This window comes from Homo sapiens, chromosome 7 (assembly GCF_000001405.40).
Source record: "Homo sapiens chromosome 7, GRCh38.p14 Primary Assembly".
NCBI lineage: Eukaryota > Metazoa > Chordata > Mammalia > Primates > Hominidae > Homo > Homo sapiens.
The window spans coordinates 154805115-154824457 of record NC_000007.14 but is presented as its reverse complement, the minus strand read 5'-3'; the positions used below and the strand labels follow the sequence as shown (position 1 = coordinate 154824457).

At 43.6% G+C, this 19343-nt stretch overlaps 1 protein-coding gene across 12 annotated transcripts in view; it reads right to left on the bottom strand.

Moving 5' to 3' along the window:
* The window catches only part of DPP6 (dipeptidyl peptidase like 6), a 1146153-nt gene that overhangs the window by 69828 nt on the left and 1056982 nt on the right, over positions 1–19343 (bottom strand). For all 12 annotated transcript variants that reach the window (NR_157195.2, NR_157196.2, XM_047419951.1 and 9 more), the window contains one exon: positions 17346–17464. Coding sequence is in view for 10 of the 12 variants with exons in the window: in XM_047419951.1 (XP_047275907.1) it covers positions 17346–17464 (119 nt within the window). In the remaining 2 variants the exon portion in view is untranslated. The remainder of the gene's footprint in view (positions 1–17345; positions 17465–19343) is intronic.

Here is a 19343-nt window from a genome sequence, read left to right as displayed (position 1 = left end):
AAAATACAAAATTAGCTGGGTGTGGTGGCACATGCCTGTAATCCCAGCTACTTGGGAGGCTGAGGCAGGAGAATCGCTTGAACCCGGGAGGCAGAGGTTGCAGTGAGCCGAGGTCTCGCCACTGCACTCCAGCCTAGGCAACAAAAGTGAAACTCTGTCTCAAAACAAACAAACAAACAAACAAACAAAACAACAACAACAACAACAAAAACATTCCTTAAGGAATAAGTTATCTACTTTTGAAATATGGGTGGAAGAGATGAATAGGTATTTTACTGTTGACCAAAATGTGTCAGCAGTCTTTGTGTAAGGCGAGGAATCCTCTAGTCAAGCAGCACTGTTTCCTGATCTACAACTAAGAAACAGACTTTTCACCAATAGCCACTAAGGAGAAGAATGGAATTGACTTTGTCTTGAGGGACTGACAAAGATCAACTTTTCAAAATGGGTAATTCAACAAAGTTTGCAAATAGAAATTTTGACTTCATACATGCAATGAATTTTGATGATTATTCAGGATGCACTTCAGTATCTCTCCATGCATTCGGTTTTTTATTATTACCATCAGCACCACTGCATGGAGCAGAGAGAAGGATCTTTGGAGAAGGTGCCGGATCTGCCTGGGTGCTGCAATGGGCCCTGAAGTTGCTCTATTGAGTCAGTATCAGAGAAGAACAATCACAGACTCTTAAACTGGCAAGGACCTTAGTCCATCGAGTCCAAAATAATCCAAAAAGGGATCCTACACAAATGTGCCTATCACTGGTCCTCTAGTTTCTGCCTGGAGAACTCCTGGGACGAGAGTTTGGCATGTCCACCTTCACCGTATGTCCATATATTACACACGATGAGATCCATACAATGATGGTTAGGACTTTAGTGACTTTTTCTTTATGTTAAGTTGAAATCTGTCTCCCTAAAACTTTATCCGCAGGCACCAGTACTTCCCTCTGAAGTAATAGAGAAGACACATATAAAGTTGCCAATAAGGTCTATGTATTCACTTTGAAAATTCATTCAGACCCATTTACTGTGCATTAAGTATAGGGTGTAAAATTGCATATTGCATTATGGTTATTATTATTTTACAGTTAGGATCTTGCTCTGTCACCCAGGCTGGAGTACAGTGGTGCCATCATAGTTCACCACAGCATCAAACTCCTGGGTCAAACTGCATATTGCATTATTTTAATTGTTTTTGATTCTCTTTCATTGTTTACAACATTTCTGTTTAAAAAATTAAATCAGTGTTCACAGTTCCAGGTCTTGTGAGCAGGCTTTTATAAACGAGGGCAAAAAAAATAATGTCTTAAAGAATATTTTGGCTACTCACAATATGAGAAGCAGCTTTCATTGTAACCTAAAAATGGCATGTGTATTAACTTATTTTCCAGGAAGTTCTAGAGTAAGATTATGACCCTAACCTAGGTCTGCATTGGCCCCAAAGTATAGTATGGTAGTGCAGCTTTTATTCATCCATTTAAAAATGCTAATTTATGGAGGACACTATGCCACAGCTCTTGCACTAGATGTCAGGATCAAAGTGGTGGGTCAAACAAAGTTCCTATACTCACTGAACTACACGCCAGTGGAGAAGATGGGCATCTGAAAACATACACAGAAAAATCAATGGCAGGAGTGAAACGTGCAAGAGAGAAAACAGGATGAAGAGCAGGAAATAGGATGGAGGAGCAGGATGAGGGCTAGAGAGCAATTAGGGTGGGGCCTTTGAGAGGGTGCCAGGGAGGCATCTGTGAGCAGAGGTGTGGATGAAGTCGTTGGGGGCGGGGGGCTGACACTGTCACTGGCTTTGGTCCCTAAGGTCCCTACAAGCTTTCACTGGGTCTTCTTGTCCCCTGAACCCACAAAGTGAATATCGCAATCTGGCACAGCGTCAGCTACACATAGTCTGGGCTATGGTTTGAATGTTTGTGTCCCTCCTAGATTCCTCTGTTGAAATCCTTACCCACAAGGTGACAGTGTTAGGGGGTCGGGCCTTAGGGTATGATTAAATCACGAGGGTGGAGGCCTCTGAATAGGATTAGGGTTTTAATAAAAAAGGCCCAAGAGAGCTCCCTTGCCCCTTCCACCATGTGAGGACGCAGCGAGATAGCACGCCCTCACCAGACACCGAGTTGCCTTGGCCTTGGGCTTCCCACCCTCTGGAACTGTGAGAAATAAATTTCTGCTGTTTAGACACTGCCCAGTTTATGGTATTTTGTTACAGCTGCCAGGATGGATGAAGACAGTCTACTATAAGGCTGCTGCACAGATATCAGTGAAACAGTCTTGCCTCTGGGAGCTCAGCATTTGTAAAGGGATGGACAAGATGCAACGGCGTAAAGGCAAAAAATGCCCTCAGAGCCCCAGGGAAGGAGGGAGCGAGGATGTGACCAGAGAAAGTTTATGAGGTTGAATCTCGGAGGTTGTATCAGATATTTAAATAAGTTGCTAGTTTGACAGGTACAGAAATAACATCAGGGAAGCTTGAGACATGTATTCCACACTGGCTTTTAACCGGAAGCACCGCTGTGGGTCTGCAAAGGCTTACTGTGAATTTCCTGGAGGATGACGGTGATTAACAAGAGGCTGTAACTTGGACCTGTATCTCTTAATTAGTAGTTTACATTTTGTAGTCACCAAAATGGTCTTACTGTTTCCTTTGATTGAACTGAAAAGCAAATGCTATACTTTGACTTGAGGAAACATTTTAATACTAACAAAACACCATGTTTTTTCTGTATATATATATGTGTGTGTGTATATATATATGTGTGTGTATATATATATGTGTATATATATATATATGTGTATATATATATATATATACAGAAAAAAAATATATATATATATATTCACTTAACATTTCATTTGAAAACTGATTGTGCCTCTAAAAGTGTTTGAAAGCTCTGATAGAGGAGTAGTGTCATTACGAGGCTGGATAAGTAGGATGTGGCCAGATTGTATGCAGCCTTGAATGCTAGGCTAAGAGTACTTTAATTTTCCTACCTGCCAATCAATCGGTCAGTCATTTCCCTCTCATCTATTATCTGTCTATCCATGTTGGATCTAGTGGCAAAAAGGACTGAAGGCAGATAAGGATGATATGAATGCACAGATAAAAATAAAATAAGCTTAAAATGAGTAAGTGAGGCTATCAGAACAATGTAAAAAGAAAAAAGAAAAGACATCAGGAAAAAGATTAAAAATGTGTGCTATAAAGACCTACCCACATATGCCACACATTTCATGCTAAGCTCTCTAGCAGCCAACACAGTTTAGGGAAACACAATTCACAGCCCATTAGATAGGTTATGAGAAGCTCAACCATTCCTGGTGTTGAGACCAGAGGAAAATTTATTCCAAATGACCCTCTGCAGAGAACATCTTGAAGTACAGTAGCCAGAAGGGCATCCCCAACACCGGCCTTAAGAATATGCTTTCAGTAAACATGAAGAACACGTTTCATGGGGCCAGTCTATATTTAATTAGTTGGTTCAGTTAACAGGTATGAGCCACTGAGCCCTGCCTGTAATCTTATATAATTTCTAAACTTGAATTGTCAAGTTTTATTAGGAGGTATGTATCGTTAGATCTTCTCCAAAATTCTTAGAATTACACTCATTAGGTTTCTTTTCCCTAACGACTCAAAAGCATGGGGAAAGTTTTTTTCCATCATATCTTGATTTATTTCTTCCCCCTTCCTTCTCCCCAATCTCTCCTTCTAAAGCCTCTACCAAGAGATTACATTCGTTGGATCTATTTTTCATAGCTCTCAAAAGTGTTTGAATGTTCATCTTTGTCCAGTTCTTGGGTCCTCTGGGAAGCCTTTTGGTTGTATTTTCTAGGGCACTTTCTGGTGTTGTTCTGTTCATAATTTTGACCAAACAAGAACACTTCAGGAAGTGAAGGGAAGAAGCACTAGAAATAATTAAGAAGCCGTATTCATTTACGTCAGCGTGATCCAGGCTTTTGGGGGCAACTGGGGTATTTGACTACTTTACCTATTCAGTTCTTCTTCTGAATTACAAAAATTTGTTTTGTAAATATTGTAAGTCTTGAGCAGTCAGCTTCCTTCATTTTCACAGCAGCCCACTCTTTACCGCTCTGTGTGGTAAAGGTGACGCCTTCTGGAATCTCTCGGAGGATATTTACAGTCGGTCTGGCTGCAGCAGATGGACAAGATCTTTAAAATGCTTCTCCAGGGATTTCCTTCCCAGGCGCTCGGTCTGAGGCCTCCCTTTCGCGTGTCCCGTGTGCTGCAGTGGTGCCCTGTTGGCTATACTCTCGTCCAGGTGGGGCCCAGGCTGTGGACACATGGCTTCAGCAGCCATAGAGCCACTCCCTCCGTGAATGCGGATTCTGATGCCAGGTGGAGACAGGGCAGTGATGAAGGGATGAGGGGGCCTCTTGCAGTGCTTGGGGCCTTGGCTTTGTGGCCACCTGCGGCACAGCTCCCCTTCCAGCCCCACCGTCCACTCTGGAAGTCTCCCTGGCCAAGTCTCCTTTTGTCTTAGGGGCAAAAATGGGAGGCGGCAGCATCTACTCTGACAGGTGCTCCACAATTCAGAATTCTAAAAAAACAAACTTCTTTTTGGTCTTCATTTTATAATCATGTCTTTTGCCAATTATGTTACATTCCCTTGTGTCTGGCTTTCACTTTAACAGTGAACCATTTATGTTTACTTTACAAAAATTCTTCAACATTTTAGTCCATTGGGGCCCCTTCCTAGTGGCCCAGTGGCATTGTTTTTGTTTTTGTTTTTGTTTTATTTCTTCTATCATTTTACTTAGAAAAAAGAGAAATGTATGTGCTCTGGAAGCCATTTTGAAGAGAGATATTCTTTAGGAAATACCATCTGGTCATATTCAGGCAGAAGCAAGGTGAACTGGCTAGTGGGAAATCTCACAGGAAAACTGACCAGTAACAAAATGGCTTTTATTACCCAGAGCTGGGGCAACAAGGATAAAAGGAATGGACACATTCTAGAGTCATTATTTATTGAGTTGAATTAATTAATTAATTAATTTATTTATTTATTGAGACAGAGTTTCACTCTTGTTGCCCACGCTGGAGGGCAATGGCATGATCTCAGCTCACTGCAACCTCTGCTTCCCGGGTTCAAGTGATTCTCCTGTCTCAGCCTCCTGAGTAGCTGGAATTAAAGGCACGTGCCATCACGTCCAGCTAATTTTTGTATTTTTAGTAGAGACAGGGTTTCACCATATTGGCCAGGCTGGTCTTGAATTCCTGACCTCAGGTGATTTGTCTGCCTCGGCCTTCCAAAATGCTGGCATTACAGGCGTGAGTCACCATGCCCAGCCCATTATTTATTTTTAATGGACATTTCAGATGAAAGACTGCAGGACATGGCCTCTGATGTAGAAAGGCACACTCGTACCAGGTTCAGCATACCTGCCACTGCCCAGGAATGGGAAAGGTGTTGAGTGGCAAAGTGAGAAGCTTCTTTTCCATGGAAGATGTTTGTTTGGTTGTTACTGAGGAGGAATATGAGTGGTTTGCGTGGTGTCTGGTAGCATTTACTGAAGAGTGTGACATGTTCCAGAGTATTCATGTCACTTACATTAACAATATAACCTGCCTTGAGAATCCCTTTCCTTGTTCTTGGTTCATGCAGCCTCAAAGGGAATGGCTCCAAATGTTTGAGAGACTGAACAGATGTTCTTACAAACACACCAGCAATGCTCCAAGGAGCTTCAAACCGGTTCTAAACATTCACTTGGATAAATTCAAAATTAAAAAGGGCAGCTGAGGTAAATTTCTTGGAAATTTTGATATAAGAGATGTCTAGAGGATTAACTAGTTTGTAGAACCAAACCATTTGTTTTCAAATTTGCTGTTGGGAGTCAATAGCACCCTACATGTTTGAGGCTAATAAGACAGTTTTATCAATGAAGACGCAAACTATGTATTATTTTTCTAGCTCTGGGACTACTCATTTACGGTTAGGCATGAGTTATTAGCAAATAATTTGACCAGCAGTAGAATATTTAATTCCTATGTTGGGATCATGCAAAGGGCATGCCTGCTTACACTGTTGATCCAGCACTCTGAAGGGGTGTGAATCAGTATCACCCCTGAGCCACTCTGGAAGGATCTGGAGATTTCTTCTCCCTCATTCAAAAGATGTATGACAGAAGAGGTGCCCTTCAGTTAGAAACCCTGGGCAACAGCCTCCCTCAGGAGAGTTTCCATGACAGCCATTTCCATCCCTTCAGGTAACCGAGTCTCAATCTGCGTCTCTTCATGCATGCCCTTTTCTCTTCTCTGAAGTGACATGCTGTCACTTCTATTTTGGCTGGCCATAATGCTTCAGGAGTCTAGGCCCTTAAAAAAATAAGCCCCTTCACCTCATTCTGCAGTACAAGGTGAGTTTTAGGATAAATCTCAAACTTCCAAATGTATGTCATCTTGGATAATATGGAATCTGAAGTCTCACCATGTGGAGGTGTTCATTCATTTCAGGGGATTACACCAAACATCATAGATGCATGGCATGTGGCTGCCACCTGCTCCCCCATGACTGTGGGTGACACACATCACTAATCAATCAGGACATTCATGACATCATCCATCAATCACTCAGGACATTCATGACATCACCCATCAATCACTCATGATGCTCATGTCATTAATCACTCAGGACATTCATGACATCATCCATCAATCACTGAGGACATTCATGACATCACCCTTCAATCACTCATGACATCCATGGCATCAATCACTCATGATGCTCATGTCATTAATCACTCAGGACATTCATGACATCAGTTACTTGTGACATTTATGACATTAATCATTCACTCATGATGTTCATGACATCATCAATCGATCACTCATGATATTCGTAACATCGATCACTCATGATGTGCCTGACATTAGTCACTCACTCATGTTTCATTATATCATCACTCATGACCCTCATGACATCATTCATCAATTACTCTTGAAGTTGCTCATATTAATCACTCACTCATGATGTTCATGACATCATATATCAATCACTCATAATGTTCATGACATCATAAATCACTCATGATGTTAATGACATCATGACTTTTGTGACGTCATCCATCAATCGCTTACGACTTTCATGACATCATCCGTTAATCACTCATGATGTTCTTTCCTGCTGAACCTGCACTTGGCCTCAGAACCCTTCTCATCCATAGCACTGCAGCCAGTGCCTTCCCAACAAGTGGAGCTGGTTGGCTGATTCCTGTTTTTCATCCCTGCCTTACTCACTGCTCTGACTAAAACCTGGGGAAGAATAACAAGCACCTTAGTATACATATTTGCAGGACACCTTAATGGCACCTTCGTGGACATTTCCCCTGGTTAATTATGTTTTGCAGCGAGAGGATGTAGGAGGGGCATCTGGGAGCTCCGGGCACCTGAAGGCATGGAGGGGAAAGGTCACAGCAGAAGGAACGGGCAGGTGCTAAGAAAGCTGGAAATTTACTTCTTAACTTCTGCCAGGAACCAACTGTGAGGACCACGGTGGACACATGCACTCTGGAAGCCACCAGGTACTCATTGCCATGCCTGACAGTTGATTTAATGTTTTGTGGCTCTGGCATCCATGGCCGCTTCTGGAATTTGCTAGTGTAAGTGCAAGATCCAGGGGTTCCAACCTAAGCCTGCTGAGGTGCTGGAGTGCCCACTAACATGTGGGAAGGGATGCTGCTTCATTGACTTCATGCACGTCAGCCACCCCCAGCCTTGGCCCCAACTTTTGGATACTGAGTGGGTAGCAAGTGGATGTGTAAGAAACTCAATTGATTACTAAGGTGATGACAATGATGAAAACAATTATGATAGTTAACACTTATTATTAAACACTCACTATGTATCAGATGCCATGGTAAGTACTCTACATGCACTATCTAGGTTAATCTTCAAAACAGCCTCACAGGACAGGTACAGTGGTGCCCCATATCCACCAGGGACATGTTCCCAGACCCCAGTGGATGTCTGAAACCAATGATAGTATTGAACCCCATATATATAATGTTTTTTCTGTGCCTACATACCTAATTATAAAGTTTCATTTATAAATTAGGCATAGTAAGAGAACAATAACTAATAATGAAATCAAACTATTATAACAATATACTGTAATAAAAGTTATTATGAATGTGGTGTCTCTCTCTCTCAAAATATCTTATTGTTTATAATATTTTCAGAGCATAGTTGACTCTAGGTAACTGAAACCTCAAAAACTAGAACTGTGGATAAGGGGGGACTGCCATACTGTTATTCCTCCGATTTTCAGGATGAGGGTGTGGAGGATTAAGCAAGGTTAACCAAGATGCCCAAGGTCGCGAAGCTGTAGGTGGCAGAGTCCAGGTTTGAACCCAGCTCTACGGTTCCATACTCCATAGACCTCCCTTACTGCCATTTCAATCTCCTGTGATTTTGATAATGATGGCAATGATGGTGATGACAGAAGATCTTGGGGAATATTTAATAGTAAGAAGAATAGTTATCAGATTTGAGTCACTGTATTTTAGGCTCAGGTAATAATACTTTGGTTCCACTCAACTTGGAGAAGGAGAAGCCTGTCTTGATAAACCAATCTGCTAAGTCTAAGACCAAACTTCTTAAAGTCTGGAAAGTAGCTCCCTAATCATGGCTCAACACTGAAAGGGGCGGGGGTGAGAGCCCAGAGCTGTAAGGGATTCATGAACACAGACTGTCCCGTTCCCACTCAGAGCAGCAAGTGACTGCAATAATTCCATCCTCGGCTTCAGGAGAAGGAAGTTTATTTAGCTATTTTTAAACATACAAAAAATGTTTCAGTAGGAAGCACCAAATGGCCAATTCATACACGGAACTCACTTTCCTGGTGGCATTTGGACATTTCTTAGAAACAGGATTGATTGAGTCGTTTTCAAAAACTTGAAGGAAAATAAATCATACTCTTGAGATTCATTTTGAAGAGAAAAATCCAGTTCTCTCAACAGAGGCGAGGACTGTGAAACACAAATTATGTAAATTGGGCACTTCGATTCTGTTGTTCAGTGGCTCTGGCGGTTGAATTTAGATGGGTAGGAGAAAACCCTACAGAACTTGTTATGGCTGTATGCCACTTGACTGTGAATTTTGCATTATGACAGGGAAGAAGTATTCCTAGAGAGAATCTATACTGGAACTGCTCTTCTTCCTCTAATATGCTAGAGTTGCTATCCAAAGATATGGTAGTATCACATTACTTCCTTCAGTGACCCCCTTGCTGCTTCCAGAATGCAGTGAAACCATTAAGAACTGTCTCTGGCACAGTCTAGTGTGGCTGCCCTTAATTTTGTGTTCCTGAGAAGAACAAGCTGAGCACTCTTTCTTTCTTATATAAGAAGGCAATGCAGTCCTTAGAAGGGAAGTGTTGTGGGTTTAATTAATGGTGTCCCCCCAAAAGTTACACTGAAGTCCTGACCCTCGGTTCCTGTGAATGTGACCTTATTTGGAAACGAGGTCTTTGCAGGTGTAGTCAAGTTAAGATGAAGCTACGCTGGATTAGGTGGGTCCTCATCCAATGATTGGCATCCACATAAGAAGTGGGAAATTTGGATGCAGAGACAGAGGGGGAAGACCACATGAAGATGAAGGCAAAGATGAAAGCAATACATTGGTAAGTCAAAAAATGCCAAGGACTGCTGGCAACCACCAGAAGCTCGAGAGAAACGTGGAACAGATTCTCCCTCACAGCCTCCAAGAGAAACCACACTGGCTAACAGCTTGATTTTGGATTTCCGGCCTCCAGAACTGTGAGAGACTAAATTTCTGTTGGTTTAAACCATCCAGATTGCGGTAATTTGTTAGCTGTCCTAGAAGATGAGTCCAGGAGGTGAGTGCTTTTTTTCTTTAAAGATGGAATTGGGTTTATCCAGGACTAGAAGGTGAGACCACCCAGCCTTCCCCTGTCCTGGGCATCCCCAGTCATCTAAGACAGCTGAAGACTGAGTTCCTGTCACAGGCGTTGGTCTGCGGGTGAATACACAGCCACTTTCATGTTCTCTGACTTCTCATTCATCCCTCCTGTAAGGGGATGAAAATCAACCCTGCCCTGAAAGTCTTGGAGAATGTATAGGGGTTTATCAGGTAGTCAAAGACAAAAGCATGGAAATGTGAAAAATGATATTGAGTTTAGGGAATTCTAAGTAGATATATTTACGCTAGAATATAAATTTCAAGGAATCAGAAATGGGAACATAGTCATCAACTGTTATAATGTAATTAGAAATGTACTTTTCAGGCCAGGCACCGTGGCTCAAAGCCTGTAATCCCAGTACTTTGGGAGGCCGAGGCAGGTGGATCACCTGAGGTCAAGAGCTCAAGACCCACCTAACCAACATTGCAAAACCCCGTCTCTACTAAAAATACAAAAATTAGCTGGGTGTGGTGGTTGGCGCTTGTAATCCCAGCTACTCAAGAGGCTGAGGCAGGAGAATTGCTTGAACCTGGGAGGCGGAGGTTGCAGTGAGCCCAGATTGTGTCATTGCACTCCAGCCTGGGTGACAAGAACAAAACTCCATCTCAAAAAAAAAAAAAAAAAAAAGAAATGTGCTTTTCAAATTGTAAAGAACTTAACAAATAGAAGATTATTTCTTTTACTACCCATTTCACAGGGTCATTGAGAAGACCAATTAAGTATGTATGCCAAAAGCTGCTTGGTATATTCTGGAAAATCATCATAAAAGGTTACATCATAATACAATATTTAGAATATAGCTGGCTTCACTTCCAGACAATAGAGAGGTGGACAGAAACTCTCTGTATTACATAGATAGGTGAGTTTCCACAATGTTCCACTGAGTTTGGCTTACAGCTGATCCCTCGCACAAGTATCCAGGGGTCATCTGAAACCCATGTCCTTTAGATATAAATATTGACACTCAGAGATGGGATCCAGTGAGGTAGTGAGTGGATATAGTGGCTATAAGCATTTCTGAACCTCTATTTATATATTGTATTCGAATATATTTTTAATGTAACTGTGCAAAGTAGAAAAATAATTTATGGGTTTGTATGTACAATCAAAAATTAAGGAATTGGCCAGGCACGGTGGCTCATGCCTGTAATCCCAGCACTTTGGGAGGCCGAGGTGGGCAGATCACAAGGTCAGGAGATTGAGACCATCCTGGCTAACACAGTGAAAACCCGTCTCTAATAAAAATACAAAAAAAAATTAGCTGGGCATTGTGGCGGGCACCTGTAGTCCCAGCTACTCAGGAGGCTGAGGCAGGAGAATGGCGTGAAACCAGGAGGCAGAGCTTGCAATGAGCCAAGATCATGCCACTGTACTCTAGCCTGGGCAACAGAGCGAGACTCTGTCTCAAAAAAAAAAAATTGAGGAATTAACCTAAAATAATTATTATTTAAGTTAATAGTAATTATTATTAACCTAAAAATAATTTTTAGGTTTGTATGTACAATAAAAAATTTTAAGGAATTAAGAATTATAAACATAAAACATAAACATATAAGCATACAAATGTCAAATATTGAGAAGCCGCTGAAGAAATGTTAATGAAAAATTAGAGAAAGCACACATTGATACTGCTAGATGGAACTCTATAATGATGTTGGACAAAATACACTGTGGAAGAAAAACTGAACATTAGGAGAAGATCAGTATGCCAAAGGACTAACGAAATAGAAATACTGTTTGCAAACAACTGATGAGCTACAATCAGCTATGATTACAATGGACTGAGTGTTTATGTCCCCCCCACATTTATACATTAAGTCCTAACCTCCAACGTGATGGTATTAAGAGGTGGGGCCTTTGAGAGGTGATTAGGTCCCAAGAGTGGAACCCTTGGGAATGGCATTAGTGCACTTATAATGAGGCCCCAGAGAGCTCTGTCACCCTCTTTCCCACCACATGAGGATACAAGGAGAAACTGGTCATCTGTGACCCAGAAGAGGGCCCTTACCAGAATCAACCATGCTGGTACCCTGGTCTTGGATTTCCAGCTTCCAGAACTGTGAGAAATAATTTTCTGTTGTTTATAAGCCACACAGTCTATAGAACTTCACTATAGCAGCCCAAATGGACTAAGACAATAAAGTTATATTGCTGAATATAAGTTATAATACTGAATATAAGTTACAGGATAGGTCAATATCAGCTAAACTTACCAAAAACTGTCCTAATGGAAGGCCCACAGAAAGGCAGGAAGAATGTTGAAGTCTATATGAAACAGTTATAATTTCATGATTTTATACCCAGCCCTTATGTCCTAATGTGGTTTGATAGCCTATATCTGCTCTCAGGGACATGTCTTTTGGCTGGTTGGTATCCACCTTGTCCTAGTTGTTAAATCCTTTGATGATCATCCCTTCCTATGCCCAGACAACCTGAACTACTTACACTTCCCTCCCTGTGTGACGGGATGAACAGCTTTGAATGTGGGCATGTTTACAGATTTTACCATAGAGAAGCCTCTCATTGCCAGTACATTTATCCTCAACCTAAAAAAGGAGGATTTTTTTGGTTCTGGTTGCAACTAGAAGACTAAGTTAATTTATATAACAAAATGCTGCAGGAGGAGGGAAGGAGAAGAAAACAAGAGTCTCTAATGCTAGGAGTGGAGACGTTATTTTTGTCACAGGTTTCCAAGAATCTCTCAGAATAACTTGGGGTGTGAAGGAAACAGGACAGGACATGAGCATTGACTAAACGTTGCTCTAGACTACACATCTGGGTCCATTTTAATATCTACTGAGAAACGTGGAGAAAAATAAAATTATTTTAAATTATCTTTGTTTATTAAATCAGGTTGCTTGTATTCACTTGATCCTGATTCACATGCTGCAAAAGATTCCATTGCATAATCTTACAACATTTCTTGTGCTTTTTCTCAGGGTGTACCTTCCACTTGGACTGCTTTTTCCCATTCCAAATCCTACCTACTCATTTGTTTTAAATGCCACCTCATCATTGACACCTTCCTTGAGTCTTCTCCTCCAGCAAAATGCCCCAAGCAATCCAAATGGGTATAATCACTTTCTCCTTTAAGATTTCATAGCAATTGATCTTCTCATCCCTTAGGCAATCATCGCCAATGCCTGCTCAGCTTTCCCCATGGCAGGACGAGGCTCAGCTTCAGGGTCTGCCAGGTCAGTTATCACTGGTAACTGCTTCCAGGTTCAAACAGTTGGCTGCTCCTGTCTCCCCATGTACTTTGTTGTCTTTGTAAATTTAAACCTTTTCAGAAAATCTCTTTTTATAAGTGGGATTTTGGTTACCTCCATGGGGAGAGTTTAATTTGGGCATTCAAAAGTTACTTTAGCCAGAAAATAGCTTATTATGTAAACACTTTAAAGAGCAATTTTGTAGAGAAGAGGGCTAGTTTATGTCTACCTTAAGATGAGGCAACAGGCTAAATATTTAAATAGATCTTAAATGATTCAGGAAACCCTAGCGTGATAATTTCATAATGACTAAGAGTTCAGTTTCTGAATCAACAAAAGAAAGGCAGGGTGGAGACTGGATTAGATGCTCTGAGATCTATTCCTATCTTCAAATTCTAGGAATCTGTTTGATTATTATAGGGATCCAGGCATTGGCAGGAGGAGCATCCCATCCTTTCTGAAGGTGAGATTGTGGAGGTGCCCAATGGGCCAGGTTAGTTGTGTGTGTGTGACCCAGTGTGGCTGTACTTGGGGACTGGGTCAGTCGTGTGTGTGACCCAGTGTGGCTGTACCTGGGGTCCGGGTCAGTCATGTGTGTGTGACCCAGTGTGGCTGTACCTGGGGGCTGGGTCAGTCGTGTGTCTGACCTTGTGTTGCTGTACTTGTTCTTTGCTTCTGTTTTCCTCCCAGGTATCAACTATGGAGTCATCTCTTCACAATAACTATTTGCAGACCACAACACAAGCCTTGCAAATACATAAACATAAAAAGAAATACGAATCTCCCTTGGGACAGAAGGCCAGTGGCAGACTAGAAATCCGCACAGGAGCCACCCTATAGTGCTCTCTAAACTTTAACACTCTGTCCAAGCAGCCTCCCAACACCAGGCTGTGTTTCTATCTACCACGGGCTCCATGTTTACATCCACCATGTGGGAACTGGAACTTCCCTGCCTAAATCCATGGCCATGGATCTCCTGGGAGAGCCTTTTGGATTTCAACCCAGGGCTGCAGCTTATGGAAACTGAACCATAAAAGGCTTCCAGTTGTCAGAATGAGGCATCCAGACTGAACTTGAGCTTGAACTTAGCAGGGAGCTGTGACCTCCAAAGGGAAGCAGCGAAAGTGTTTGTTAAGTAAGGGCCAGGTGAGGTGGCTTTTGTCTGTAATCCCAGCACTTTGGGAGGCCAAGGCAGGTGGAACATTTGAGACCAGGAGTGTGAGACCAGCCTGGCCAACATGGCAAAACCCTGTCTTTACTAAAAATACAAAAATTATGTATCCATGTAATCCCAGCTACTTGGGAGGCTGAGGCAGGAGAATCGCTTGAAACCGGGAGGCAGAGGTTGCAGTGAGCTGAGATGGCACTAGTGCACTCCAGCCTGGGCGGCAGAGCAAGACTCCATCTCAAACAACAACAACAACAACAAATAAGCTGTTGGATTCTGGATTCTGGGAGGGTCACCATGTGGAGCAGATGTTAGTATGTGTTAGGAATATGACCGAGCAGCTCAGCCTCAAACCACGATTTAAACTTTTTTTCTTTCTCCTCTCCTCTTCTGTCTGCTCCCTGTCTCAAGATACAACTTTGAGACAAGCTGCGTATGTGTTACCTTTCATCTTGAAACACAGCCTCAGAATGTGCTGTCGCCTCCACTCCCTTTCTTTTCCCATTCTATGCTCTCATGCCTTATGCACATTTATTAACCCGGATGCTTGTGGAGCACACACCATGCTTTCTTATCTGGTCATGTATTTCCTTAAAACCTCCAGGAGTCAGCTCCTGATAGGACCCAGATACCTCCAGAATTCTTTCTTTAACAAAAGATTACTTCAAGGATGAAACCCGCTCATGGCTGAAGAGTGACTACAAGGCTGACTGTGATTAACTGATAACCTGGTGGGATCCACAATGGTGCCAGCTCCTTCATCAAATGGGACAATAATTAAAGAGGGGCCACCACAGCCAGTCACACTCCTTGGCACCTCCTAACCCCCCAAGCTCTTCCCCATTCCAAACCCTTCTTCTTCTTTTTTTTTTTTAAAAAAAGAAACCCTGTATTTGCTCCACAAATTGAAGAGTGGAATTGCTTTCTGCTCTTCCCCTTGGTGGCATAGGTAATAAAGAAATATCACTCCTTCATATCACAACTCATTATTATTTTGACTTCTTTCCATGAACGGTGAGAAGCCAGACCCTTCTTGCTGGTTATAGTAAGAATTTGGGAAATACAAATCCATAAAGTTGCTGTCTTGACCAGTGCAGACCTCAGATCCCAAAGGCTCTGCCTCCTGCCTAGGCCAGACCAAGCCCCTCTGGCAAATGACCTCTGTCCCTGACTCAGGATCTCCACGATGGAGGCTCTGTCACCTTTCTCATTCAACCTTTGTTGCTTGGGGCACTCTTCTTGAAATCTACTTCAATTTTTCACTTCTGTGTTTGATCATGACCTCCTGTGTGCTGAAGCTGCCTCCTGCTTCTGAGACAGGATTGTGGATTCTGATTATGTAGCTCCTCAAAAGACTCTCTGGCTCCTAGTGGGTCTGCTTGCCACATTTTCCCAATCCCTATGCCCCGTCAATCCCTGTAATTTCCCAAGTTCTTATTTCAAGAAGATCCCGCCCTAGGAGACAGATGTCACTGGGCTAGGAACTGGGAGACCTTGATGCTGGCCCTCTCTGTGTCACTGGCTCATTGGGAGTCAGGGAATCCACTCAACTTCTGGCTTAGGGTTTGCCATCTGATACATGAAGTGGGTCAGTTAGATCTTAGGTTCTTTCCCCTACAGCACTCTATGATTTCAGATACTTGGTGGCCTCCTTCTTGGGACACACAGGAAAGAGGAATTTGGTACCATTAACGTTGCGGGGACTGGGGCACTAATGTTATATTTCAGTCGCACCCCCCTCATCCCTCCGTGGTCTCCTTGCTGTCTTAGAAGAATGTCAGGGGCTGAGCTTGTGTTGAGCAAGAGGCTGAGTGTCCCTGTTCTGCGGATTTTCAAGATTTTAGATGACACTGATAAAAAGAGAACGAAGTCATGAAGTCATGAGCTCTCTAGTAGCTAGCAAAGGCTAGCAAAGACATTGCTCTGATAAAAGTTATTCATTCTCCACCTATGGCTTAGGGGATTGAAACTCTGACAGAGGAGCAAATTGCTCCTGATCTTAGTCTCTGCCTGTGGCATATTTTCATTCTTTGAGGTCATCGCAGGAGATCATATTTTGTTACGACCATATTTAGGATGACTTACCTTTCCATGGGTTCATATCATATCTTTCCAAGATACAGACAAGCAGCAAAAATATCCTTTGTATCCCATATGCAACATGGCCTACTCTTTTGTGTATGCTGGTTGGTGTGATCAAACTCTTGCAGTTTGGGATAAATTATCAATGAATTGGGACATAGGGAAATATTTTTCTGAGACTTCTTTAACATAACCTCAATCCTTTTTTTCTTATCTAGTCATTTGAGATGGAGTCTCACTCTGTTGCCCAGGCTGGAGTGTAGTGGTGCGATCTCAGCTCACTGCAACCTCCACCTCCTGGGTTCAAGCAATTCTTCTGCCTCAGCCTCCCTAGTAGCTGAGATTACAGGCATTCACCACCAGGCCCGGCTAATTTTTGTATTTTTAGTAGAGACGGGATTTCGCCATGTTAGCCAGGCAGGTCTCGAACTCCTGACCTCAGGTGAATCTGCCCACCTTGGCCTCCCAAAGCGCTGGGATTACAAGCGTGAGCCACCGTGCCTGGTGATATTCAATCATCCTTAAATATGATTGAAAAGTTAATCTTTGAAATTGTTTTCCTATCTTTATTGATGGATTGATGGCTTTGGCTCATCACTGTGTAGGATATTTGCCCTTCCTAGCTCATGGGACTATTATTTTTTGTGGACAATGGGAGACAAACTGAGAGATTACTGGCACAGTGTGCACAGAACACTCTGATAAGCTGTACACCTGTATGAAACGTAAAGTAGCCCCACTGCACCAGGCTCTGTGGGGGTCCAGTCATCTTGCACCATAAGCAATGTTATCAGGTAGGCGGGATCCTCACCTGTTCTGGAATACGCTGTGCTCCCACCACAGCCGCTGCCCCCTCCCTGCAAGTGTGCCCACCCCCTCCCTGCAAATGTGCCTGCCAGGGCTCTTTGCCCTGACGGGGTGGCAGGAGCTGACCTTCGCACTTGAGCAGGAAGAAGTCCATGCTATGGCTGAAGGAAGCGCTGAAGTAGGTGCAGTTCTCAACCAGGTCACAGGAGAGGCACTGCCTGTTGAAGTTGCCCACCGTGTTGGCACTGGAAGAGCAAAGGACGCAGGTGTGAATGTGGGCGGAGAGGAGCTGCCCTCCACGCTGGGTGCCGCAAGCTGGTGGGCTCTCCCCATGAGGGTGATCTGCGGAGCCCTGCTACAGACCCCCCGGGCCTCTCCCTCTGTCTCCCTGCTGGAGCCCCTGAGACCACCCAGCTCCATTTCCACCTTCCTTTGCTGGTGGGTCCCTCCCACTCTCAAGAGCTTTCAGCATCCTTGCTTGTGGGAGGGCTGGAAGGCAGTCACCTATGCTGCCTTCTCCAGGCTCTGCAGGTGGCCTGGTGTGAGGAGCATGGAGCTGTCAGTGTTATATGATCTAGCACTCTATCTGCACGTGTCCTGTCCCTCTGAGTGGATGGCTAGCAATCTGAGAACAGTAGACAGAGTGACATATCTTCAAATTATCTGGGTTCCAAACGCTGGCATGTGAGCAGGCAGGGGCTCCAGCAGCACCAGTGGAATTGAACTCTGGCAGCTTCCAAAAGCCACATCCCCTGACAGAGTGAAACCTCGAGAGCTCGCGCTTCCCACTCAACGGAGCTACACAAGTGGGAACTGGCTTGAAGATGTTACCTGGGACCACTGTGGTCAAGTGTCATTTCAAGTCAAGAAGGCCTAAAATGTGCTCCCTAAAATGGAAAGATCCTAAGATACCGGATCTACCTGGAAGAAGTTCTTATCTGAACATTTTGCCGCAGGAGGGTCCCCTCTAACCATAGGTTTCAATATGAAGTCTGTTGTTCCAGGAGCAAAGATATTTCACGGGAGAGAGAAGACAACCTTCTCATTCTGTAATTTAGAGGACAGGGGCCACAGGCAGCCTCTCATGTTTATTAATTGGTGACATGTGTATTTCAATTTTCCTAGTAGACACATGGTGACGATGGAACATCTACACGGACTGGCTCCCTCATGCTGACCTCATCCTGTCCGCATAGCGGCCGATGGCTGGGAAGGGAGGCTGCGTTCACCAGGGGGGCTTCCCAATGTCCCAGCAGTGGGGCGGGGGCAACAGGCATTGGCACCATTTAGACAATGCGCCACTGGCCTCAAGCCTCAGGTCTCCCCTGAACAACATCCTCTTCAGCGGCCCAGGTGCCTTTAGGTGTAACTGGCTGCAGCCATCCCATGCAGAGGCACGGGGGAGGCAGCAGACACCCCCTCCTCACCTCTGTGGCCCTGGTAGAAAGTGCCCAGGGCTAATCTCACTTCACAACCCAAAGCCTCCTTTAGTGAGAACAGTGACTGGGCAGATGACAGGACTAAATGTAGAAGAGGGACACGCCCTAGAAAAAAAACCAGTCCCCCTCCAGGGTTCAGAACACAGGGTCCCTGCCCTCTTTGAGATTTGGAAACTTGTCCAAAGTCGCACAGTTGGGCTGTTGAGAAGGGAAATTGCCTTTAGGGCCTCATCATAAATATTAGCCTTCTACTTTATAGCTATAGAATATTTGTGATTAACCTTTTTTTTCTAATCAAATTTCATTTACCTACCCTGATCCCAAATAACTTTAGACTGCTTCCAAACTGAGGAGCTTCGAGATCATGCTCCCTGTCTTCCTCAGGGCAGAGTTCCCCAAAGCCAGTGAGCTACAATGCCGGACAGCAGGGCCGGCCTCCTCGTGCTGACCCACGGGTTTGTTTCCAAATCACACTCTGCTCCCTACAAAAAATCTGTGGTGGGGCAGGGGGGGCAGAATTCCTCCGAGGTGACATTGAATAGAAGTGAAAAGGAAAGACGGGTTAAAGTCCATCCGTTAGCCAAAGAGGCAAGTGGGTGACAGGGAAAACCCAAGTCAACAACAGCAGAAAAATAAAGCTTCAAAAGTCTCAAAACTACCCCTTTGGTGGCCTCTGCAAGTTTCA